At 37.6% G+C, this 25,830-nt stretch overlaps 1 protein-coding gene across 4 annotated transcripts in view, besides 2 other annotated features; it reads left to right on the top strand.

Moving 5' to 3' along the window:
- The window catches only part of GSK3B (glycogen synthase kinase 3 beta), a 273,127-nt gene that overhangs the window by 85,493 nt on the left and 161,804 nt on the right, over positions 1–25,830 (top strand). For all 4 annotated transcript variants that reach the window (NM_001354596.2, NM_001146156.2, XM_006713610.4 and 1 more), the window contains exon 2: positions 6,716–6,909. In NM_001354596.2, coding sequence (NP_001341525.1) covers positions 6,716–6,909 — 194 coding nt within the window. The remainder of the gene's footprint in view (positions 1–6,715; positions 6,910–25,830) is intronic.
- Positions 4,357–4,882: an enhancer, noted in NCBI's record as "OCT4-NANOG-H3K27ac-H3K4me1 hESC enhancer chr3:119722920-119723445 (GRCh37/hg19 assembly coordinates)". NCBI's record gives its function as "activates a minimal SCP1, AML or CMV promoter by ChIP-STARR-seq in naive and primed H9 embryonic stem cells {active_cell/tissue: H9 hESC(naive and primed)}" and the evidence as "EXISTENCE:reporter gene assay evidence [ECO:0000049][PMID:30033119]".
- Positions 4,883–5,409: an enhancer, noted in NCBI's record as "OCT4-NANOG-H3K27ac-H3K4me1 hESC enhancer chr3:119722393-119722919 (GRCh37/hg19 assembly coordinates)". NCBI's record gives its function as "activates a minimal SCP1, AML or CMV promoter by ChIP-STARR-seq in primed H9 embryonic stem cells {active_cell/tissue: H9 hESC(primed)}" and the evidence as "EXISTENCE:reporter gene assay evidence [ECO:0000049][PMID:30033119]".

The following is a 25,830-nucleotide window of genomic DNA, read 5'->3' as shown; positions in this document are numbered from 1 at the left end:
TTATATTAGCCCTTTGTCAGATGGATAGATTGCAAAAATTTTTCTCCCATTCTGTTTCTTTTGCTGTGAAGAAGCTCTTTAGTTTAATTAGATCCTATTTATCAATTTTGGCTTTTGTTGCCATTGCTTTTGGTGTTTTAGACATGAAGTCTTTGCCCATGCCTATGTCCTGAATGGTATTGCCCAGGTTTTCTTCTAGGATTTTTATGGACCTAGGTCTTAACGTTTAAGTCTTTGATCCATCTTGAGTTGATTTTTCTATAAGGTGTAAGGAAGGGGTCCAGTTTAGTTTTCTGCACATGGCTAGCCAGTTTTTCCAGCACCATTTATTAAATAGGGAATCTTTTCCCCATTGCCTGTGCGTGTCAGATTTGTCAGAGATCAGATGGTGGTAGATGTGTGGTGGCATTTCTGAGGCCTCTGTTCTATCCCTTTGGTCTATATATCTGTTTTGGTACCAGTACCATGCTGTTTGGATTACTGTAGCCTTGTAGTAAAGTTTGAAGTCAGGTTACATGATGCCTCCAGCTTTGTTCTTCTTGCCCAGGATTGTCTTGGGTATGCAGGCTCTTTTGTGTTTCCATATGAAATTTAAAGTAGTTTTTTCCAATTCTGTGAAGAAAGTCAGTGGTAGCTATAAATTACTTTGGGCAGTAAGGCCATTTTCACGATATTGATTCTTCCTATGCATGAGCATGGAATGTTTTTCCATTTGTTTGTGTCCTCTTTTATTTCCTTGAGCAGTGGTTTGTAGTTCTCCTTGAAGAAGTCCTTCACATCCCTTGTAAGTTGTATTCCTAGGTATTTTATTCTCTTAGTAGCCATTGTGAATGGGAGTTCACTCATGATTTGGCTGTTTGTCTGTTATTGGTGTATAAGAATGCTTGTGATTTTTGCACATTGATTTTGTGTCCTGAGACTTTGCTGAAGTTGCTTATCAGCTTAAGGAGTGTTTGGCCTGAGACGTCAAACAGAGACAATTTGACTTCCTCTCCTCCTATTTGAATATGCTTTATGCTTTTTCTTGCCTGATTGCCCTGGCCAGAACTTCCAATACTATGTTGACTAGGAGGGATGAGAGAGGGCATCTTTGTCTTGTGCCGGTTTTCAAAGGGAATGCTTCCAGCTTTTGCCCATTCAGTATGATATTGGCTGTTGGTTTGTCATAAATAGCTCTTGTTATGTTGAGATACGTTCCATCGATACCAAGTTTATTGAAAGTTTTTAGTATGAAAGGCTGTTGAATTTTGTTGAATGCCTTTTCTGCATCTATTGAGATAATCATGTGGTTTTTGTCATTGGTTCTGTTTATGTGATGGATTACATTTATTGATTTGCATATGTTGAACCAGCCTGTCATCCCAGGGATGAAGCCGACTTGATCGTGGTGGATAAGCTTTTTGATGTGCTGCTGGTTTCGATTTGCCAGTATTTCATTGAGGATTTTCGCATCAGTGTTCATCAGGGATATTGGTCTAAATTTCTTTTTTTTTGTTGTTGTGTCTCTGCCAGATATCATTTGGTATCAGGATGATGCTAGCCTCATAAAATGAGTTAGGGAGGATTCCCCTTTTTTCTATTGATTGGAACAGTTTCAGAAGGAATGATACCAGCTCCTCTTTGTACCTCTGGTAGAATTCGGCTGTGAATTTGTCTGGTCCTGGACTTTTTTTGGTTGGTAGGCTATTAATTATTGCCTAAATTTCAGAACCTGTTATTGATCTATTCAGAGATTCGACTTCCTGGTTTAGTCTTGGGAGGGTGTATGTGTCCAGGAATTTATCCATTTCTTGTAGATTTTCTAGTTTATTTGCGTAGAGGTGTTTATAGTATTCTCTGATAGTAGTTTGTATTTCTGTGGGATCAGTGGTGATCCCCTTTATCATTTTTTATTGCATCTATTTGATTCTTCTCTCGTTTCTTCTTTATTAGTGTTGCTAATGGTCTATTTTGTTGATCTTTCAAAAAATCAGCTCCTGGATTCATTTATTTTTTTTTTTGAAGGTTTTTTTTCTGTCTCTATCTCTTTCACTTCTGCTCTGATCTTAGTTATTTCTTGTCTTCTGCGAGGTTTTGAATTTGTTTGCTCTTGCTTGTCTAGTTCTTTTAATTGTGATGTTAGGATGTTGATTTAGATCTCTCCTGCTTTCTCTTGTGGGCATTTAGTGCTCTAAGTTTCCCTCTAAACACTGCTTTAAATGTGTTCCAGAGATTCTGGTATGTTGTGTCTTTGTTCTCATTAGTTTCAAATAACTTATTTCTTTCTGTCTTAATTTCGTTATTTACCAAGTAGTCATTCAGGAGCAGGTTGTTCAGTTTCCATGCAGTTGTGTGGTTTTGAATGAGATTCTTAATGCTGAGTTCTAATTTGATTGCACTGTGGTCTGAGAGACAGTTTGTTGTGATTTCTGTTCTTTTACATTTGCTGAGGAGTGCTTTACTTCCAATTATGTGGTCAATTTTAGAATAAGTGGGATGTGGTGCTGAGAAGAATGTATATTCTGTTTATTTGGGGTGCAGAGTTCTGTAGGTGTCTATTAGGTCCGCTTGGTCCAAAGCTGAGTTCAAGTCCTGAGTATCCTTGTTAATTTTCTGTCTCCTTGATCTGTCTAATATTGACAGTGGGGTGTTAAAGTCTCCCATTATTATTGTGTGGGAGTCTCAGTCTCTTTGTAGGTCTCCAAGGACTTGCTTTATGAATCTGGGTGCTCTTGTATTGGGTGCATATATTTTAGGATAGTTAGCTCTTCTTGTTGAATTGATCACTTTACCATTATGTAATGGCCCTCTTTGTCTCTTTTGATCTTCGTTGGTTTAAAGTCTATTTTATCAGAGACCAGGATTTTTTTTTGCTTTCCATTTGCTTGGTAGATCTTTCTCCATCCCTTTATTTTGAGCCTATGTGTGTCTTTGCACGTGAGATGGGTCTCCTGAATACAGCACATTGATGGGTCTTGAGTCTTTATCCAGTTTGCCAGCCTGTGTCTTTTAATTGGGGAATTTAGCCCATTTACATTTAAGGTTAATATTGTTATATGTGAATTTGATCCTGTCATTATGATGCTAGCTGGTTATTTTGCCCATTAATTGATGCAATTTCTTCTTAGCATCGATGGTCTTTATAATTTGGCATGTTTTTGCAATGGCTGCTACCGGTTGTTGCTATCCATGTTTAGTGCTTCCTTCAGGAGCTCTTGTAAGGCAGGCCTGGTGGTGACAAAATCTCTCAGCATTTGCTTGTCCGTAAAGGATTTTATTTCTCCTTCACTTATGAAGCTTAGTTTGGCGGGATATGAAATTCTGGGTTGAAAATTCTTTTCTTTAAGAATGTTGAATATTTTCCCCCTACTCTCTTCTGGCTTGTAGAGTTTCTGCCGAGAGATCTGCTGTTAGTCTGATGGCCTTCCCTTTGTGGGTAACCCAACCTTTCTCTGGCTGCCCTTAACATTTTTTCCTTCATTTAAACCTTGGTGAATCTGACAATTATGTGTCTTGGGGTTGCTCTTCTTGAGGAGTATCTTTGTGGTGGTCTCTGTATTTCCTGAATTTGAATGTTGGCCTGCCTTGCTATGTTGGGGAAGTTCTCCTGGTGAATATCCTTAAGAGTGGTTTCTAACTTGATTCCATTCTCCCCATCACTTTCAGGTACACCATTCAAACGTAGATTTGGTCTTTTCACATAATGCCGTATTTCTTGAAGGCTTTGTTCATTTCTTTTCACTCTTTTTTTTCTAATCTTGTCTTCTCGCTTTATTTCATTAATTTGATCTTCAGTCACTGATATCCTTTCTTCTGCTTGATTGAATCAGCTACTGAAGCTTGTGTATGCTTCACCATGTTCTCATACTCTGGTTTTCAGCTTCATCAGGTCATTTAAGCTCTTCTCTACACTGTTTATTCTAGTTAGCCATTCGTCTAACCTTTTGTCAAGGTTTTTAGCTTCCTTGCAATGGGTTAGAACATACTTCTTTAACTTGGAGAAGTTTGTTATTACTGACCTTCTGAAGCCTACTTCTGTCATCTTGTCAAACTCATTCTGCATCCAGTTTTGTTCCCTTGCTGGCGAGTAGTTGTGTTTCTTTGGAGGAGAAGAGGCGTTATGGTTTTTGGAATTTTCAACCTTTCTGCTGTGGTTTCTCCCCATCTTTGTGGTTTTATCTATCTTTGGTCTTTGATGTTGGTGGCCTACGTATGGGGTTTTGGTGTGGATGTCCTTTGTGTTGATGTTGATGCTGTTCCTTTCTGTTTGTTAGTTTTCCTTCTAACAGTCAGGTACCTTAGCTGCAGGTCTATTGGAGTTTGCTAGAGGTCCACTCCAGACCCTGTTTGCCTGGGTATCACCAGAGGAGGCTGCAGAACAGCAGATATTGCTGCCTGATCCTTCCTCTGGATGCTTCGTCCCAGAGGGGCACCCACCTGTATGAGGTGTCTGTTGGCCATTACTGGGAGATATCTCCCAGTCAGGCTACACAGGGGTCAGGGAACCACTTGGATAACAGTCTGTCCCTTATCGGGAGCTGAAACGCCATGCTGGGAGAACCATTGCTGTCTTCAGAGCTGTCAGGCAGGGACGTTTAAGTCTGCAGAAGCTGTCTGCTGCCTTTTGTTCAGATATGCCCTGCCCCCAGAGGTGGAATCTAGAGAGGCAGTAGGCCTTGCTCAGCTGTGGTGGTCTCTGCCGAGTTTGAGCTTCCCTGCTGCTTTGTTTACACTGTGAGCATAGAACTGCCTACTCAAGCCTCAGCAATGGCAAACGCCCCTCCCCCCACCAAGCTCCCACATCTTAGGTTGATCTCAGACTGCTGTGCTGGCAGCGAACAAGGCTGTGTGGGCGTGGGACCCGCCGAGTCAGGCATGGGAGGGGATCTTCTGGTCTGCCTGTTGCGAAGAGCATTGGGAAAGTGCAGTATTTGGGCAGGAGTGTATCGCTCCTCCAGGTACAGCCACTCATGCCTTCCCTTGGGTAGGAAAGGGAAATCCCCCAACCCTTTGCACTTCCCAGGTGAGGCAATGCCCCACCCTGCTTCGGCTCGCCCTCCATGGGCTGCACCTGCTGTCCAACCAGTCCCAGTGAGATGAACCAGGTACCTAAGTTGGAAATGCAGAAATCACCTGTGTTCTGCAAAGATCTTCCTGGGAGTTGTAGACCAGAACTGTTCCTATTCAGCCATCTTGGAAGCGACCATGAATGCCATCTTACAAATGAAAGTGTTAATTGGTCACAGACATTCACTGGCTTTTGTGTATATTAATACTTCTGTGAATTTAAATGGATATAAATATTGGTTATAATATTCCACTAGTGCATTTGGATATTCATTTATCTAGCAATTTATATTTCACAGAGAAAAATACTCATAAATATTATATTACTTTTCTTTTATTAGGTTAATTGGAATTCAGTTAGTATTTTAGAAAGGAAATTGTAATGGAAGAATAACAGGAAAAAATAAAAGTCCAATAAGTGAGCCTAAGGACTTATATTGTACTGAGAATTGGTTTTAGATTTGTCAGGGAAGAGAGAAGAAACAGTAGACATTTTTGTGTACGTTGAAGTCACTAAAAGAACAATGTAAAGCTCTTTTAGATCAGATACTAGGTAGCATAATACACAGAATCGATTAAGAATTCAGAAAACAAGATGGTGACTGTGGACTATCCCTAGTGAAGTAGGAGGTGGCTCTTGTGCCTGAATTGAAGAGAGCCGTTGGATTGCTACTGGGGTGAGAGAAGGCAAAAAAGGAAAGAAGAGGTCTGTGAGTGAATAGAGACCCTGGAGCCAGTGATATGCTTATATAATTGGGCCTCAGTTCAGAATGGGTTGGATTATTTAAATTTTTATATCTGTTAACCCCAAATTAACATTCTTTTCTCCACCTGAGCTTTCTCTGAGAGGTCTTCTACTTTGCTAAAAAGAAGATTCAGGGAAGCAAACACTCAAAGCCTTACTTTCCTAAATGCAGAAGGATCTGAAGAGAGAAGTTTTAAACATTTTTATTTGCACATATTTTATTTTCAAGTAAAATAAGGTCTTGAAGAAAGCCCTAAGGCCTTTTAGAATTGGATGGATAAGGTCAGACTCTTATGGGTTCACCTTTTGCTATTTGACCATGGGCAAATTTAACATTCTTCCTATTACCTATAATATGGGAACAGTACTGTCTACCTCATGGGGTTGAAACTAAGCATTGTGTCTGGTCTATAGAATGACTGAATACATGGGAGTTTAAAAAATGACTTATAATTGAAACAAGTAATTGAAGTAATTACATGTAATAAACTAAAAATAATTTGTAGTAAAGAATATAGTTTACTTTGACCAGGCGTGGTGGCTGATGCCTGTAATCCCAGCACTTTGGAGGCCAAGGAGGGCGGATCACCTGAGGTCAGGAGTTCAAGACCAGCCTGGCCAACATGGTGAAACCGCGTCTCTGCTAGAAATACAAAAATTAGCCAGACGTGGTGGCAGGTGCCTGTAATCCTAGCTACTCGGGAGGCTGAGGCAGGAGAATTGATTGAACCCGGCAGACGGAGGTTGCAGTGAGCCGAGATTGTGTGACTGCACAACAGCCTGGGTGACAAGAGTGAGACTCCATCTCAAAAAAAAAAATAAAATAAAAAATAAAGAATATAGTTTACCTTGTATATTTTGGCAGTTTTCTCTATTTAATTCCTTACAGTTCTCGTGAAAAAAAAATTTCCTTTCTTCCTTTAGGAGACAAGGACGGCAGCAAGGTGACAACAGTGGTGGCAACTCCTGGGCAGGGTCCAGACAGGCCACAAGAAGTCAGCTATACAGACACTAAAGTGATTGGAAATGGATCATTTGGTGTGGTATATCAAGCCAAACTTTGTGATTCAGGAGAACTGGTCGCCATCAAGAAAGTATTGCAGGACAAGAGATTTAAGGTAAAATGTCCAGTATTTCATATATTTTGTTGCTGTCGTAATACATATACCATAAATGATTATTTTTTTAGTTGCTTCTTTTTGCTTCAAATTTCTTCTATTGTGCGCATTTTTGTTCAGCTCAACCATTGTAGTGATTTTATTTCTAGTCATGTATTTTGTAGAGATAACATTCACTGAAGATTGCAGTATTACTTTTGTAGTCATTACAAATGACATATGTAATATATGTATTTTTTAATCCTGTGAAAGGTAAGTTAAAATTTCTTAATTTATACTATAAAAAGTGACCTGTCCTCACCGTTGTACTGTGTTGATGTAGACCAGAGGAACACTGCCTGTAGCATATAAGCATTTTATGTATTTGACTATGCTTCCTTTTTTCAAAAAATTTTTTTAATCCATGTTGCAACTTGTGTTAGTCTGTTTTTGCATCTCTATAAAGGAATACCTGATATTGAGTAATTTATAAAGAAAAGAGGTTTAATTGGCTCACAATTCTGCAAACTGTACAGGAAGTGTGGTGCAGACATCTGCTTCTAGTAATTGTCTCAGGAAACTTCTAATCATGGGCAGAAGGTGAAGGGCGAGTAGGTGCATCACATGGCAAGAGCTGAGCGAGAGCATGAAGGGGGAGATCCAGACTTTATTATTATTATTATTGTTATTACTATTTTGTAGAAACGGGGTTTTGCCATGTTGTCCAAGCTAGTCTCAATCTCCTGAGCTCAGGCAAGTCGCCTGTCTCAGCCTCCCAAAGTGCTGGGATTACAGGCGTGAGCCACCATGCCCGTCCCCAGACTCTCTTAAATAACCAGATCTCCTGTGAACTAACTGAGTGGGAACTCACTCATCAACAAGGGGATGGTGCTAACCCCATTCATGAGTGGTTGACCCCCTTGATCCAATACCTCCCACCAGGCTCTACCCCGTCTCTACTAAAAATACAAAAAATTAGCCGGGTATGGTGGCGGGCGCTTGTAGTCCCAGCTACTTGGGAGGCTGAAGTAGGAGAATGGCGTGAACCCGGGAGGCAGAGCTTGTAGTGAGCCGAGATCGCGCCACTGCACTCCAGCTTGGGGGACAGAGTGAGACTCTGTCTCAAAAAAAAAAAAAAAAAAAAAAAAGGAGATTACATTTCAACATGAGGTTTGGAAAGGGATAAACATCCAAACCATATTACAACACTATCCATTTTTCTCGTAACTTTTTTTTTTTTTTTTTGCTATCTTCCCTTTTTTTTCTTGTCCTTCTGCCTTTAGACACTAGCAATCCCAAAATTCAGTTCTCGTCATGTATTTTCATTTTCTGTACCTCATTAGGGGAGCCTATGCATGGAAGCTCAGATGTCATCTCTATGTTGTGGTATAGCAGAGAGAGTCAGAAGACACCGGGTGTAATTAAGCCTCTGTCACTATGCAGCGTTGCTCCCTTTACTACTCTTCCAACCTCTGCAACATTTTAGTGGGAGCCTCCAATGTACCAAGATCTATGGTAAACATGAAGGGATATAACAAGAAGAAGTGATCACTGTTCTGGTATAACACTAGTTATACCACATTCTAGTGTCCATCTGCTGTAAATATCTGGAACATTCTAAAGAATTTTTAAAAATTCAGTTGTTTTTGTTTTCAGTTCTCACCTCTCCCCCAAGTACTAGTCTCATGTTGTCAAATGCCCACTGGATCTTGATATCTGAATATTGTACTGTTATCTCAAATTGTCAAGCCATCTTATCTAACTATGACTTAACTTTTAAGACTCAATGGAAATCTCTCCTGCTAGTTCCCAGAACTTTGGATTTGCCTTTTCTTTTTAATGGTTTTATAATTCACTGTTATTCAGACTGTTCCATTTGCTCATCCCTAATATCCAGTCATTGTTTAACTTGATTTTCTTTTTTCCTCATACTGCCTTGTGGCTGTGTCTCTTCTTTTTCTTTCTCTTCACTACTATTCTAGTCAGAACCTGTCATTATTTGGCTTAACCACTTATAAACGTGTACCTTAGTCTTCTCCTTTCTAATCTCTTCTGTGTACTAAGACTAGAATAATCCCAGAGTTCTCATTGGTCATGTTGTTTCTCTTGCCCATAAATCTTCTATGGTTCTTCATAGTCTAGAAAGTAAAACCTGCCTAGTTTACTTGTGTACGCAGAAACTTCCATAGTCTTCCATTTTCTCCAGATACTTAACTTTCCAAACTTTTTATGTTACTCTCCTTGAAATATGTTCTTCTCTATGACCACTCTGCTTTTATTCAGCTCTTCTATCACTCCCATTCTCCTGCTGTCTAAATTCTGTGCATTTATGAAAACTCAGGTCAAATTCTTCCTGTATGAAACTTCCCAGATGATTCAAGTCAGCTATGGAGATCTTGCTATTCTAAATTCCTCGAGCCCATATTGTCCATAACCTAGGAAATTCCATATTTTTTATGACAGGGTCTCCATTTTTTAAATATTTGTCTCCTAAATACCCACACATTCCATTTTTTGGGATTGGTAGTTAATGATGATAGCAGATACTTACTATATGTATTTTTTGACATGAGCAGTTTTACATAATTCTTACCATTAGTACTGTGTGATTGATATTGTTATTATTTGGATAAGGAAACCTAAGTACAAAGAAATTTTAAATTAACTTGTCAGGGTCACACAGTTGGCAAGTGGATGGATGAGCAAGGATTCGAATCTAGACAGACTCTCCAGTGCCTTACCACATTTTATCCTCGCTGTATCAAGCCCCTCTACCCCTTCTCTCTTTCTCTCACAGTATTCATCCTCTTTCTATATCATAGTATCAGATTCTCACAGTGTCATAACCTCTTTCTATCAAAATATTTAAACCACACCCTCTTTCTCCTTCTCAAGAGAGATTGGTTTTATTTCATTCTCTAATGGTTGCATTATATTTTATTGTGTGGATATACCCTAATTAGCCATTGTTCAATTGATAGCTATTAAAATTTTTTTCCCTGCCAAACATTGTATATATGTGCTTTATCAGAATACAGTTTATAAAAGTAGAATTCTAGGGTTTAAACTTTAAACCTTGATATAGGAGAGCACTTTAAACCTTGATATAGGCTGTCTTCCAGTTAGATTTTATCCATTTAAATGTACGTTATTTGAATATGAGTAATGCCCATTTCCTGTGTAGCCTTTAGATATTAGGAGTATTTTTATGTTTTTCAGTTCTGTAGGTGAAAAATTATTTTTATATTTTGTTACTTTCTTTTCTGTTTTAAATTTTTTGTAGAGACGCATCTCACTACATGGCCCAGGTTGGTCTTGAGCTCCTGGCCTAAACTGGTTCTCCCTCTTGGCTTCCTAAAGTGGTGGGATTATGGTCTGAATCATCATGCCTGGCCCTGAAAAATTATTTTAATTTACAACACCATTTTACATGTTGTGACCCTTTTTACCCCTTTTAGAGTGTGTGTCTTCCTTACTCATTTGTTAAAACCCATTTAAAATGTAATCTTGTAGAGCAACAAAGATTTTATTATCTCAGTGCTTCTGTGCGTTGGAAATTCAGGCATGGCTTAGCTAGGAACCTCTGGCCCAGGGCCTCTCACCAGACTGAATCCAGGCATCAGCTGGAGCTGCAGTCTCATCTGAAGGTTTGTCTGAAGGAGGAAATATCTGTCCCCAAGTGTACTATGTGATTGTTGGCAGACTTTGGTCCCTTGCCACATGGGCCTGTTCACTGGGCTTTCTGAGGTCTTACCAGTTAGCTTCCTACATGGCAAGGGAGCCACTGGAAAAACAGTAAGCCCAAGACAGAAACCACAGTTGTTTTTCTAACCTAATATTGGTGAGTTGATTAAACAAGGGTGTGAATACCAGGAGGCAGGTATCATTTAGGGCCATCCTAGAAGCTGCCTCCACAATAATATGAACCATCTGTCATCATCTCAAAGTGAGAAAAAATAATTTCAGTTTGTGTTGACTTTGCTTGTGATATCTTTTGCTTTTCAGATATTGTTGATTTGGGCTTTGGTATAATGCTGAGAAAGGGCCTGTTCTATCTTGCTTATAAATAATGTCGTTTTCTCTAGGAATTTTATTTTCACATATTTCTTTAATTTTTCTGGGGTTATATTTTGGGATGTAGTGTAAAGTAGTAATATAACTTAACCTTTCCCCAAGTAGTAGGTCATTGTCTCAGAAACCATTTTTATAAAGTTTATCCTTTTCCCACTGGTGGGCAAATGCCATTTTAAAAACCATGTATTATGTTACCATATATACATTGGATTTTCTTCTGGGTTTCCTTTTCTTTTCCGCTGATTTGTCCATTTTGGCTTATGTAACACTTCTCTGATGATGAGAACTAACAGCATATTTTGAGTGTTCCTTGTTTTTTCTCTTAAAAAAATCTGTGTATCAAATATCATCAGCCTGTGATGTTTCTCCTGCAACCCCAACAAAACAAAAACAAACTTTAGATTTGATTAAAATTGTGTAAAATTTGCAGATTAGTTGGGCAGAATGTGCAGATTTACAATATTCAGCCTTCCCATCCAGAAATGTGATAATTCTCAGCATTTAATCCATTTTTGATATAAAACTTTATAGTTATGTACGTTTTAAACTTTTCTTACTTTTTTAATCTAGATATGTGTAGTAATTTTTCTGTTGCTCTTGGGAATGGGAGTCTTCCTCCATGTAAATACATCTTCCATGTAAATGCAAGTCTTCCTCCATGTAAATACATCTTCCATGTAAATGCAAGTCTTCCTCCATGTAAATATGTCTTGTTTTAGGCATTTGAACACTGCCTCCTCCGTTGGTTTTGAACTTGGGCATCTTCTAGATGCATTTAATGTGCTGAGGCCCTTTAGTAGGGTACTTTACTATGTTGCTTTTCTAAATATTATTACATGTTCATTATAATTTTCTAGCTTACCTAGAAACCTGAGTTTAAAATGTTACTGGTGAACTAGAGTGTTTTTGTTGTTTTGTTTTCTGTTGTTAGATGAACAGTTTTTATTATGATTAGACACTGATTTTCATATAGGGTTTATGGTTTTTTTCCCTATGATCTAAATGTAATATATAAACATGATAATATTCAGTCGGTTTTGCTTTCTAATAATCCTGTTTGCTCCAGGTGTTTTAACATTGTGATTTTTTTTGGAGGTATTTTATGTATTAGTGCTTTCTTTTATTTTTTGTTTTTCTCAGTCAGACTTGCTATATAGCTTTGCTTTAGTTATCATCTCTTTTCAAGGAACCAGCTGTTCTACCTTTCTTCTAATCATTGTATCTTTCATCACTATTCCTTTTTAAGAAGGTTCTAAAGAAAGAATATGTCAAATACTTTGATTAAAGATTGAAAATATGTCCCTATGTAAATGAACTGTAGAACTCTGAAAACAAACATTTAAATAAAACTATTAATAAACAGTGAGACCCTTTCTTTTTTTATTAAAAAAAAAAACACTAAATAAAACTATTTATATTGGGTAGCATAGGGTAAAACACAGTAATACTTCTGATTGTCCTCACTGGGAATTTGAATACTTTTCATGTATTACAGAGAGGAACAAGTAACCTGGCTGAAAATAAAAGGATGTGAGTCAGGAAAATAAAATAATAAAGCAAGAGAGCACCCAAAGCCTTGGCTTGCAAGAAATTGTGTATTAGATACTATGGTTTTTATATGTACTTATTGACAGAGAAAGTGGGGATCTATTGCTTAGGTAACAAAATAGTAGATCTAATGTTTTATTATGATTTTTGTCCTTTTTTCATGTTTTGATGGAGAAGATGTACAGACAGTGGTTTAAGAATAACAAACACTTGAAACTTGCAACTTAGCCTATGCTAGGATTGTGTGGGTATTTCACCAATTAATTTAATAAATACAGAGTTTTGTCTAATGAGCGGTTTGAAAGTAATAATGTGCACACATAGCATTTTGTAGTTTAAAAATTAGTTTCATATACATAAATCATTTGATTTTTGCTACTTTTTATTTTGATATAATTTCAGGCTTAGGCCAGGAGTGGTGGCTCACGCTTGTAATCCCAGCACTTCAGGAGGCTGAGGCAGGAGGATCACTTGAGGTCAGGAGTTTGAGACCAGCCTGGCCAACATGGCAAAATCCCGTCTCTACTAAAAATACAAATATTAGCAAAGTGTGGTGGCACGTGCCTGTAGTCCCAGCTATTTGGAAGGCTGAGGCAGGAGAATTACTTGAACCTGGGAGGCAGAGGTTGCTGTGAGCCAAGATTGCGCCACTGCACTCTAGCCTGGGGGACAGAGTGAGACTCTGTCTCAAAAAAAAAAAAAAAAAATTATTTCAGGCTTAGGCCGGGTGCGGTGGCTCATGCCTGTAATCCCAGCACTTTGGGAGGCCGAGGCGGGTGGATCACGATGTGAGGAGATCCTGACCAATATGGTGAAACCCTGTCTCTACTAAAAAATACAGAAATTAGCTGGGCACGGTGACTGAGGCAGGAGAATCACTTGAACCCGGGAAGCGGAGGTTGCAGTGAGCTGAGATCGCGCCACTGCACTCCAGCCTGGTGACAGAGTGAGACTCCGTCTCAAAAAAAAAAAATAATTATTGTTTCAGGCTTAACATTGCCATTACTGTAAAGAACTTCCTTAAACCTTTTATCCAGATTTCCAAATATTAATATTTATCACACTCACTTTTGCAGTTTCTTCCTCTCTATATATATTATTTTTATTTTTTTCAGGTGAGATCTTGCCGTATAACCCAGGCTGGAGAGCGGTGGTAAAGTCACGGCTACTGCAGCCTTCAACTCCTAGGCTTTAGCGATTCTCCTACCTCAGCCTCCCAAGTAGATAACCATAGGTGTGCGCCACCACACCTGGCTAGTTTTTAATTTTTTTTTTTTTTTTTGTAGAGACAGTGTCTCCCTGTTTTGCCCAGGCTGGTCTCAAACTCCTGGGCTTAAGTGATCCTCCTGCCTTGGCCTTCTAAAGTACTGGGATTATAGACGTGTGTGCCAGGCTACACATATTATTTCCTGAAATGTTTGAGTGCAACTTTTAAGTATGAGGCTCTTTTATCCCTAAATTATTCAGTGTCTGTTTCCCAAACTCAAAAGACATTCGCTTATGTAACCACATAATAATTATAAAAAAATCAAGAAATTAACAATTATACAATACTATTATCTAATATGCAGGCTTTATTGAAATATCTCCAGTTGTTCCAAAAATGTCCATTGTGGCACAAGAAAATCCTGGGTCATGTGTTTAGTTGTGATATCTCTAGTCTTCTATACCAGGAAGAGTTCCTCACTTATTGTCTTTCATGACATTCATGTTTTTGAACAGTATAGGACAGCTATTTGGGTTTGTGTAATGTTTCTTCATAATTAGGTTCAGCATATTCATTTTTGGAAAGAATGTCATTGAAATGATTTTTTTCTTCTTAATGCATTATATCAGGAGACCCATGATGTCTGTCTAGTTAATGATGATATTCACTTCTATCACTTAGGGTAGTGTTTGCTAGGTTTCTTTACTGTAGAATTACGGTTTTTCTCTTCATAATTATAAGGAATATGTAGGAAAATACTTTTAGACTACATAAATAACCTTTTTCTCATCCAGCTTTTACCAACTAGTTTTAGTATGCATTAATGAGTTTTTGTTAGAATCAATTATTATAATAATGGCTACAAATGGTGATTTTCTAATTCTTTTTTTCTTTATTAATTAGATTCTACTCTAAGGATTATGAGGAAAGCTTTTCCCTTCTCTCATTTAATTTTATATATCATACGGACTCATTGACTCTCATTTAATTGTATATATCATATGGACTCATTGACTCTCATTTTATTAAATGGGTTATAATCTTTGGTCATTTATTTTGATACTCAGATTGCTTCAGGCCAGGTGCAGTGGCTCACACCTGTAATCCCAGCACTTAGGGCGGCCGAGGCGGGCGGATCACGAGGTCAGGAGATTGAGACCATCCTGGCTAACATGGTGAAACCCCGTCTCTACTAAAAAATAGAAAAAAATAGCTGGGCATGGTGGCGGGTGCCTGTAAGGGAGGCTGAGGCAAGAGAATGGCCCAGGAGGTGGAGCTTGCAGTGAGCTGAGATTGCATCACTGCACTCCAGCCTGGGTGACAGAGCAAGACTCTGTCTCAAAAAAAATTGCTTCAGATTTGGTCAGCGAAAGCCCTTTCAAGCTGGATCTAGATCCCCTTAGCCAGTAGAACTAGAGAATAGGTGTATGTGTGTGCACATGTGTGCAAGCATATTCACACGTTTTTTTCTGTATTTCTTTCTATTAAAAATTAATACTTTTAATTGCAGAGCAACATCACAGAGTTCACTCTAGCCTTCTTTATTTCTATATTTGTAACTCCTCTTTCTGAACTGAGAAAACCTAGCTGCTGTTATCCACAATATATTTACTTATTTGCTCAATCCTAGAATTTACAAGCTAGTTTCAGAGCTGCTAACTCATATCCCTGGGGGCAGAGTTGGACTTACTAAGAGTTCACTGTTTATGTTTTTTATCTTTAGCTTGAAAGGCATATGGATTTTATATTATATTCAAAAAGTATTTGGGTTTTTCTTTTTTTTTAATTTTAATTTTTTCCTGTAGCATAGACTATTAATTTGAAGTAGTTAGGTTCATCTGTTTCTGTATGTATCGCTTCTTAGAACTTCACCCCCTTTCTTTTTGATTAAAAAAATTATTTATGTTTTCATTCTGTGAAACACTAACATGGTTCCAAAAGTCAGAAATCTAGTGTCATTTCTTTTCGATTCTTTCTATTTTATTTCCACTCACTCCCTGTAGATGGCCAACCTCATTATGTTCTGGCTTACTTTTCCTCAGTTTTGTTTTACACATACCTGCTCGTTTGTGCATTTTCTTTTTTTTTTTTTCTTCCTTACACAGGAGGTAGCATATTGGAGACACTCTTTTGTACTTTGCTTTTTCTTTAAGCTATATTTCCTGGCAATCATTGCATATCAGTTCAGAGATTTTTTTTTTTTTCATCCTTTTTACAGCTGCTAAATGCCCCTCCATAAAGGTTATACCAATTTGCATTCTCTCTAGTTAAGTATGAGTGCCTGTTGGTCCATAGTTTTGGCTATAAAAGTTGCCTTACTTTTTAAATTTTTGCTAATCTCATAGGTGAGAAATGGTATCTCATTATAGTTTTAATTTACAATCTTCCTATTTTGAGTACACTTTAACATCTTTTCATGTATTCAAGGTCCATTTTATTTGTTTTTGTGAGTCTGTATGAATTGTCCTTTTTTTGGTCCATTTTAAAAATGTGATTTTGATTTTTCCCAATCAACCCTGAAGAGTACTTTATTATGGAATTTATATTAGGTGTGATATGTGTAATTTTTACTTTGTGTATGGTAGTTTTTTTTTTCTGATATGTAAGAGTCCTTCCTTCCCTCTATGCAGTTGAATTTATTGCTCTTTTATCTGGATTTTGTGTTATGGTTATAAAGCTTTCCAGCTATCCTCAGGTTAAAGAGGAAGTCATCTATATTTTCCTCTAGTAGTTATCAGGGTTCAGTTTTTGCATTTAGATCCCTGATCCATTTGGAGTTTATTCCTATTATGGTATGAATTATTGATCTAATTTTATCTTTTCTAAATCATTAACTACTTGTCTGGGTACAATTTAGTAGAAGACTATCTTTGTTCCAGTTATTTGAGATGTTACTGTTATTATATGCTAAATTTCTACATGTACTTGGCTCTATTTCTGGACTTTCCATTTTATTCCACTAAGCTGTTTGCATATTCATGTGTCACTACTATACCGTTTTGATTATAGAGACTTTATAGTATGTTTTAATGTCTGATAGGGTTAATATGCCCTTGTAGCTTTTCTTTTTGGTGTTTTCCTACCTATTTTTACATGTTTATTTTTCTATATGAACTTTGGCATCAGTTTATCTAACTTTATAAAAAAAGTGTTGATCTTTTAAATTGGGATTTTATTTATAAATTAATATAGGAAGAACTGATATATTTGTGAGCTTGAATTATCTTAGCCAGGAATAAGAAATATTTTTCCATTTGTTCAAATCTACTTTTATGTCTTTCAGAAGTTTTGGCTTAGTCAGGCTTTAGAAATTTCTTAAGTTTATTCTTAAGTATTTTATTGTTTTTGTTGCTATTGTATAGTTTTTCTTGTTTTTTATTCTACATGTTAAAAAGTGATGGACTGCTTTATACCAAGCTCGGTTTTTTTCCTTGTATCACCCTTCCTTTGTGGAATTTAAGTATTCTTTGTTGTGGCCAAAAAATAAAATTTGATATATTGACCTATTTGTTTCTCTTGATTATCATAAAATAGGAATTTCTCTGACAACTTAAAAGTCTGTAGTTTTAAAATCTGTGATTTACATAGCTGCTGTTTGGGATTGCCTTAAATTATTAGGTGTTTCCAGCAGAAGGTTGAAATAGGATCTTCTCCTTGTTCAATTAAATAAACCAACCTGCGAAATCTCCTAATGGCAGTGAGAGGCTTTTTTTTTTTTTTTTTTTTTGGTGAATAGTAAAGATGAGAGATAATGGTCAAAGATAAAAAGAAAACCAAGAATAATTATCCCTGTGTGCCAGGAGTCACATAAACTGTACCTAAGACACTGGGCTTTTTAAAAGAATTTCTGGTATAATCTTCATTTCAGTGGTATTTTATTTTTTTCCCACTGTTGTCCATCATACTGTGACAGAGTACTTAAACTATCTTAACTTGGGCAGTTTGGAAGTGCTTGTGATAGGAAATATTTGTGTTGTGGGGATAAAGATTGGGTAGGTACCTAATTAATGTAGGAGACCTGTACTGTTGTAACAGGGAGAACATCAGTCAATCCCAAACCTCCTTATGGTTTGTTGAGGCTGACTGTTCCAACTTGAAAATCAGTAAGTTGCATGTTTATTAGTGATCTTGGCTTCATTTACTATTCATTTCTCCTTTGAAGTGAGTCATAGGTTTCAAGTCTCCTGCCTAGTTTCACTTGTTCTGTAATTGGGATATAGAGGGATAGGGATGTGAGGTATCACTATTGTTAGGTTGTGAATGGAGAGCATAGTCTACTTTTAATACCATTTTATTTATTTATTTATTGGAGACAGAATTTCACTCTTGTTGCCCAGGCTGGAGTGCAATGGTGCAATCTTGTCTCACTGCAACCTCCGCCTCCTGGGTTCAAGCAATTCTCCTGCCTCAGCTTCCCAAGTAGCTGGGCTTGCAGGCATGCGCCACTACTCCTGGATAATTTTGTATTTTTAGTAGAGATGGGGTTTCACCATGTTGGTCAGGCTGGTCTCGAACTCCTGACCTCAGGTGATCCACCCACCTCAGTCTCCCAAAGTGCTGGGATTACAATTGTGGGCCACCGCGCTTGGCTTAATACCATTTTAATACCTGCTTTTATAGCATTTTGGAGAATGAGGAAAGATGATGTCTGTTTTTGATCCTTAAGGATATGAGTATTCTCTGAATATATTCTGGAGACAGTGCCAGAGGAAGATTTTGGTCTTACTTAATAATTTTGAAAGCTTGAGCATATCTATTGTAAGAGTTAAAGAAAGAGGAAAGAAACACGAAATGTGGCTGGCAGTTAAAGACAAGTTCACTTTAGACAAAACCTGAGAGGTGCTCCTGGCTGATTTTGATCAGGAGCGCTTTCTCTTACAGACTAAGAGTATATATTGGTTTTAGGGTGAGGGGGCTTATCACAAGATTGGAATGTTTATGTGTGTGGAGAAGTTTATGGTGGGGTTAGAATCTCTCTGGGAGGAGGGGAGGTTATCTTGGGGCAGACATCTTTCCGGCCAGGAGGGGTGTTATCTCGGGGCTAGCATCTTTCCAACTGGAGCGGGGTTTATTTCGGGGCTAGCATGTCTCTGGTCAGGGAGGAGTTTGGAATGTTTCTGGTTGGAGATGTTATTTGTGGTTTATGGTCATGCTGACCTTAGCCATTAGGCTGATGCCCTTTGAATTTAGGCAGTTTTTTATTAAGGTGAATTTTAGAATGAGGGGCTTGTCCAAGATGGCGATGCTCCTACTCTGTCAATCCAGACCCTATAATTTGAGGAGGGACGGCGTGTTCTTCTGGCTACTTCCTGCTGACTAGGGGATGGAGAGTTTTCTGGTCTCAGGTTGACTGTAGGAGCAATGACATCTGTAGATGTTTTTGGGTAGTTGTCTGTGAAATGGCCATGATCCTGTCAGATAAAAATCTTTGAAAAAGGTTAATTGGGCAGGGTAAGAACATTAGTCCCAGGCATATTATTAGAAGGGGGCTCAGGAATGGGATGACACATGCTATGATTTTGTTTCCAAACCAAGAATCTGTTTGGTTGTTTAGATATTTCCTTAGCTTTTTATTTCCTTTTTTTTTTTTTTGGAGTCAGACTCTTGCTCCGTCACCCAGACTGGAGTACAGTGGCGCAATCTCAGCTCAATGCAACCTCCAACTCCCAGGTTCAAGCAGTTCTCCTGTCTCAGCCCCCGAGTAGCTTGGGACTACAGGCGCCTGCCTGTACGCCCGGCTAATTTTTGTATTTTTTAAGTAGAGATGGGGTTTCACCTTGTTGGTCAGGGTGGTCTTGAACTCCTGGCTTCAGGTGATACATGTGCCTCAGCCTCCCAAAATGCTGGGATTACAGGCGTGAGCTACTTCACCTAGCAAGATTTCTTATTTCTTTACATTGATATTTATGACTTTTGGGGGCTGTCAGGGGTTGCTTCCTTAGCTTTCCAGGCTTTGACTTGAGTGTGATGTATTTAGGAGTTGATTCCTGTAACAGGTACCATTTTAATTACCCTGGGTTCCGTGGATTCACTAGACATGGGGGTGAAGGATTCTGGGCACCCTCAGTTATTAGTTGTCAGCACCAGCAGTGAAGAGATTTCCTTCTGTGATGGTCGGGGAGCTTAGAGGCAGCGTCTGCTGAAACATCTAGTTTTCAGTTTATAGGGCTTTAAGAAAGCCCGACTTATTTTGGAAACTTGTAGCCAGAAAAATTAGAATTTAATTTAAGCAGTAGAAAATAATAAAAACTGAAAAATGTTAGGCAACACTAGAATTTAACAACAGGTGTGCTATGGTTTTTTAAATATAATTTTCTTTTTCCAGTTTCCCATTTTTATTAAAAGACAAATCATGGTAGGAATGGTTTGCTTTATTATACTTGGCTTAATTATTTGCATACAGTGCAGCAAGAATAATTATTTGTTACATAGGCCTTTTAAATTGGCTTTGATGGAACTTTGTTCTGTAGAAGGAATCTGAGAGAAAACCGTTTTAGCCAAGCCCAGCCCTGGATTTGTACTATCAAATATCTATGAGTTGGTGAATTTCTTTCCTCTTGAGGTCCCAAGATAACTTGGTATTCCTGGTCTGCTAGAAAGTGACATTCTTTACTTACCATAGACCAGAAACCCTGTACAGGGACTGTGTACACAAAATATGAGGCCAGTTTTCCAAGGGCATTTTTGCCTTTGTAAGTATGGTTCCTTAAAGGAAAGCATATTATTCCAGTTAAAGCCTTTGTAAAAATAACCAGTTTTTCCAATTCTGTCCTGTTACAAAAGAAAACAGATTTTTAGTGCACTTATGCAAGTACTGTAACTTAAGAATACTCACAGATAGTTTCAAAATTATGGAGAAAATCAGGTAGAGAGAAACAAGTATGTTCCAAATTTTGTTCATGGTAGTATAGTAAATTGTTAAAAGCTGTTAATAGCTCAAAAGAAAAATTTCTTTGACTTTGAAAAGCAAAACAAAGGATTAGCAATATGTTAAAACATTAAAAAGATTGGTCTCCTGTTAGTTTAGTTCATGGAATTAATTCCTGTCATGCTCAATATTAACATTTTATCTCTTCAAAAGTCCTGAACGTTTTTCCTCTATTCTGATGTTACAGTCTCCAGTGTTATCAGAAACCTGCATTTAAGAGCACCTGTTAGAGCTTTATAGCTGATTATAAAACCACCTTTTAAAGAGGACCAAAACAAGGCAACAATTGTTTATGGATGACAAAAAGTTTTAGGGTAGCCATAAAGACACAATTGACAAGGATGACACACAATAATTTTAACATAACGATTGTAATTATTACTGAAAATGTACACTAATATATATCAGAATTATAGGAGTCTTCCATAACTTTGGAACACATATGAGTAACATACAAATATAGACCAAAGAAAGCCAAATACCGTTTTATATTTGACAATGCTTCTTGTATGATTTTATACCAGATAAGCTAAATTTCACCTTTCTATTAGTGTGCTATTAATGTTAAACTCAATTTTAATAAGACCTTGTAGGCATATTTATCCAATTTTAATATCTGACCATAAGGTAAGATTTTTATAGACTTTTTTTAATGCTTTATAAGTTTTGTTAAAGAACAGGTTAGTGCTTTAAGAAAAACCCATTGTGCTTTTGTTTTAATGCCCAATTTACAGAAAAACTGGATGATACCCCTTTAACTTTACCAATATGTTTACACACAGAATTTCCTTTATAATTAACGTTTCAAAACTTGCTTAAACCTTCAAAACAATTTTTTAACTTTTTAATGTAGGTAAAAATCCACATTCTTATGCCTCCTTATAATCCTTTTACGAAAAGTATATTTTACTTTCCTTACACACCTTGCATATAAACTGTTTTTTCAATAGCTTTAAATACATGTTACACCATTAACTTTTATTATTATACTTTAAGTTCTAGGGTACATGTGCACAACGTACAGGTTTGATACATAGGTATACATGTGCCATGTTGGTTTGCTGCACCCATCAACTCATCATTTACATTAGGTATTTCTCCTAATGCTATCCCTCCCCGCAGTCCCTCATCCCCTTACAGTCCCCAGTGTGTGATGTTCCCTGCCCTGTGTCCAAGTGATCTCATTGTTCAATTCCCACCTGTGAGTGAGAACATGCGGTCTTTGGTTTTAGGTCCTTGTGATAGTTTGCTGAGAAGGATGGTTTCTAGCTTCATCTGTGTCCCTGCAAAGGACAGGAACTCATCCTTTTTTATGGCTGCATAGTATTCCATGCTGTATATGTGCCACATTTTCTTAATCCAGTCTATCATTGATGGACATTTGCGTTGGTTCCAAGTCTTGTGAATAGTGCCACAATAAACAAACGTGTGCATGTGTCTTTATAGTAGCATGATTTATAATCCTTTGGGTATATACCCAGTAATGGGATTGCTGGGTCAAATGGTAATTCTAGTTCTAGATCCTTGAGGAATCCCCATACTGTCTTCCACAATGGTTAAACCAATTTACACTGCCACCAACAGTGTATAAGCATTCCAGTTTCTCCACATCCTCTCCAGCATCTGTTGTTTCCTGACTTTTTAACGACCGCCATTCTAACTGGCGTGAGATGGTATCTCATTGTGGTTTTGATTTGTGTTTCTCTGATGACCAGTGATGATGAGCATTTTTTCGTGTGTCTGTTGGCTGCATAGATGTCTTCTTTTGACAAGTTTCTGTTCATATCTGTTGCCCACTTTATGATGGGGGTTGTTTTTTTTTTTGTAAATTTGTTTGAGTTATTTGTAGATTCTGGATATTAGCCCTTTGTCAGATGGATAGATTGCAAAAATTTTCTCCCATTCTGTAGGTTGCCTGTTCATTCTGATGGTAGTTTCTTTCACCGTGCAGAAGTTCTTCAGTTTAATTGATCCCATTTGTCTATTTTGGCTTTTGTTGCCATTGCTTTTGGTATTTTAGTCATGAAGTCCTTGCCCATAACTATGTCCTGAATGATATTGCCTAGGTTTTCTTCTAGGGTTTTTATGGTTTTAGGTCTAATATTTAAGTCTTTTATCCATCATGAATTAATTTTTCTATAAGGTGTAAGGAAGGGGTCCAGTTTCAGTTTTCTGCATATGGCTAGCTAGTTTTCCCAGCACCATTTATTAAATAGGGAATCCTTTCCCCATTTCTTGTTTTTCTCAGGTTTGTCAAAGATCAGATGGTTGTAGATGTGTGGTATTATTTCTGAGGGCTCTCTTCTGTTCCATTGGTCTATATATCTGTTTTGGTACCAGTACTATGCTGTTTTGGTGACTGTAGCCTTGTAGTATAGTTTGAAGTCAGGTAGCATGATGCCTCTAGCTTTGTTCTTTTTGCTTAGGATTGTATTGGCAATTCAGGCTCTTTTTTGATTCAATATGAAGTTTAAAGTAGTTTTTTCCAATTCTGTGAAGAAAGTCATTGGTAGCTTCATGGGGATGACATTGAATCTATAAATTACTTTGGGCAGTATGGCCGTTTTCACCATATTGATTTTTCCTATCCATGAGCATGGAATATTCTTCCATTTGTTTATGTCCTCTTTTATTTCGTTGAGCAGTGGTTTGTAGTTATTCTTGAAGAGGTCCTTCACATTCTTTGTAAGTTGTATTCCTAGGTATTTAATTCTCTTTGTAGCAATTGTGAATGGGAGTTCACTCATGATTTGGCTCTCTGTTGGTCTGTTATTGGTGTCTAGGAATGCTTGTGATTTTTGCACGTTGATTTTGTATCCTGAGACTTTGCTGAAGTTGGTTATCAGCTTGAGATTTTGGGCTGAGACGGTGGAGTTTTCCAAATATACAATCATGTCATCTGCAAACAGGGACAATTTGACTTCCTTGTTTCCTAATTGAATGCCCTTTATTTCTTTCTCTTGCCTGATTGCCCTGACCAGAACTTCCAACACTATGTTGAATAGGACTGGTGAGAGAGGGCATCCTTGTCTTGTGTTGGTTTTCAAAGGGAATGCTTCCAGTTTTTGCCCATTCAGTATGATATTGATTGTGAGTTTGTCATAAATAGCTCTTATTTTGAGATACGTTCCATCAATACCTCGTTTATTGAGAATTTTAGCATGAGGGGCTGTTGAATTTTGTCGAAGGCCTTTTCTGCATCTATTGAGATAATCATGTGGTTTTTGTCTTTGGTTCTGTTTATGTGATGGATTACGTTTGTTGATTTGCATATGTTGAACCAGCCTTGCATTCCAGGGATGAAGCCTGCTGGATCGTGGTGGATAAGCTTTTTGATGTGCTGCTGGATTCAATTTGCCAATATTTTATTGAGGATTTTTGCATCAATGTTCATCAGGGATATTGGTCTAAAATTCTCCTTTTTTTGTTGTGTCTCTGCCAGGTTTTGGTATCAGGATGATGTTGGCCTCATAAAATGAGTCAGGGTGGATCCCCTCTTTTTCTATTGATTGAAATAGTTTCAGAAGGAATGGTGCCAGCTCCTCTTTGTACCTCTGGTCCTGGACTTTTTTTGGTTGGTAGACTATTAATCATTGCCTCAATTTCAGAGCCTGTTATTGGTCTATTCAGAGATTCAACTTCTTCCTGGTTTATTCTTGGGAGGGTGTATGTGTCCAGGAATTTATCTGTTTCTTCTTGATTTTCTAGTTTATTTGCATAGAGGTGTTTATAGTATTCTCTGATGGTAGTTTGTATTTCTGTGGGATCGGTGGTGATATCCCCTTTATCATTTTTTATTGCGTATATTTGATTCTTCTCTCTTTTCTTCTTTATTAATCTTGCTACCGGTCTATCAATTTTGTTGATCTTTTCAAAAAACCAGCTCCTGGATTCATTGATTTTTTTTTTTTTTTAAGGTTTTTCTGTGTCTCTATCTCCTTCAGTTCTGCTCTGATCTTAGTTATTTCTTGCCTTTTGCTAGCTTTTGAATTTGTTTGCTTTTGCTTGTCTAGTTCTTTTAATTGTGATGTTAGGGTGTCAATTTTAGATCTTTGCTGCTTTATCTTGTGGCCATTTAGTGCTATAAATTTCCCTCTACACACTGCTTTAAATGTGTTCCAGAGATTCTGGTATGTTGTGTCTTTGTTCTCATTGGTTTCAGAGAATATCTTTATTTCTGCCTTCATTTTATTATGTACCCAGTAGTCATTCAGGAGCAAGTTGTTCAGTTTCCATGCAGTTGTGCAGTTTTGAGTGAGTTTCTTAATCCTGAGTTCTAATTTTATTGCACTGTGGTCTATGAGACAGTTTGTTGTGCTTTCTGTCCTTTTACATTTGCTGAGGAGTGCTTTACTTCCAATTATGTGGTCAGTTGTAGAATAAGTGCAGTGTGGTGCTGAGAAGAATGTATATTCTGTTGATTTTGGGTGGAGAGTTCTGTAGATGTCTATTAGGTCTGCTTGTTGCAGAGCTGAGTTCAGGTCCTGGATATGCTTGTTAACCTTTTGTAGTTGATCTTTCTAATGTTGACAGTGGGGTGTTAAAGTCTCCCATTATTATTGTGTAGGAGTCTAAGTCTCTTTGTAGGTCTCCAAGGACTTGCTTTATGAATCTGGGTGCTCCTGTATTGGGTGCATATATCTTTAGGATAGTTAGCTCTTCTTGTTGAATTGACTCCTTTACCATCATGTAATGGCTTTCTTTGTCTCTTTGATCTTTGTTGGTTTAAAGTCTGTTTTATCAGAGACTAGGATTGCAACCCCTGCTTTTTTTTTTTTCTCTCCATTTGCTTGGTAAATCTTCCTCCATCTCTTTATTTTGAGTCTGTGTGCGTCTTTGCATATGAGATGGGTCTCCTGAATACAGCACACTGATGGGTCTTGACTCTTTATCCAATTTGCCAATCTGTGTCTTTTAATTGGGGCATTTAGCCTGTTTACATTTAAGGTTAATATTGCTATATATGAATTTGTTCCTGTCATTATGATGTTCGCTGGTTATTTTGCCCATTAATTGATGCAGTTTCTTCATAGCATCAGTGGTCTTTACAATTTGGCATGTTTTTGCAGTAGCTGGTACCAGTTGTTCCTTTCCATGTTTAGTTCCTCCTTCAGGAGCTCTTGTAAGGCAGGCCTGGTGGTGACAAAGTCTCTCAGCATTTGCTTGTCTGTAAAGGATTTTATTT

The sequence above is a fragment of the Homo sapiens genome, chromosome 3 (genome assembly GCF_000001405.40).
Source record: "Homo sapiens chromosome 3, GRCh38.p14 Primary Assembly".
Taxonomy (NCBI): Eukaryota; Metazoa; Chordata; class Mammalia; order Primates; family Hominidae; genus Homo; species Homo sapiens.
The sequence above is the reverse complement of the archived record's forward strand: the minus strand, read 5'-3'. Positions and strand labels throughout refer to the sequence as shown.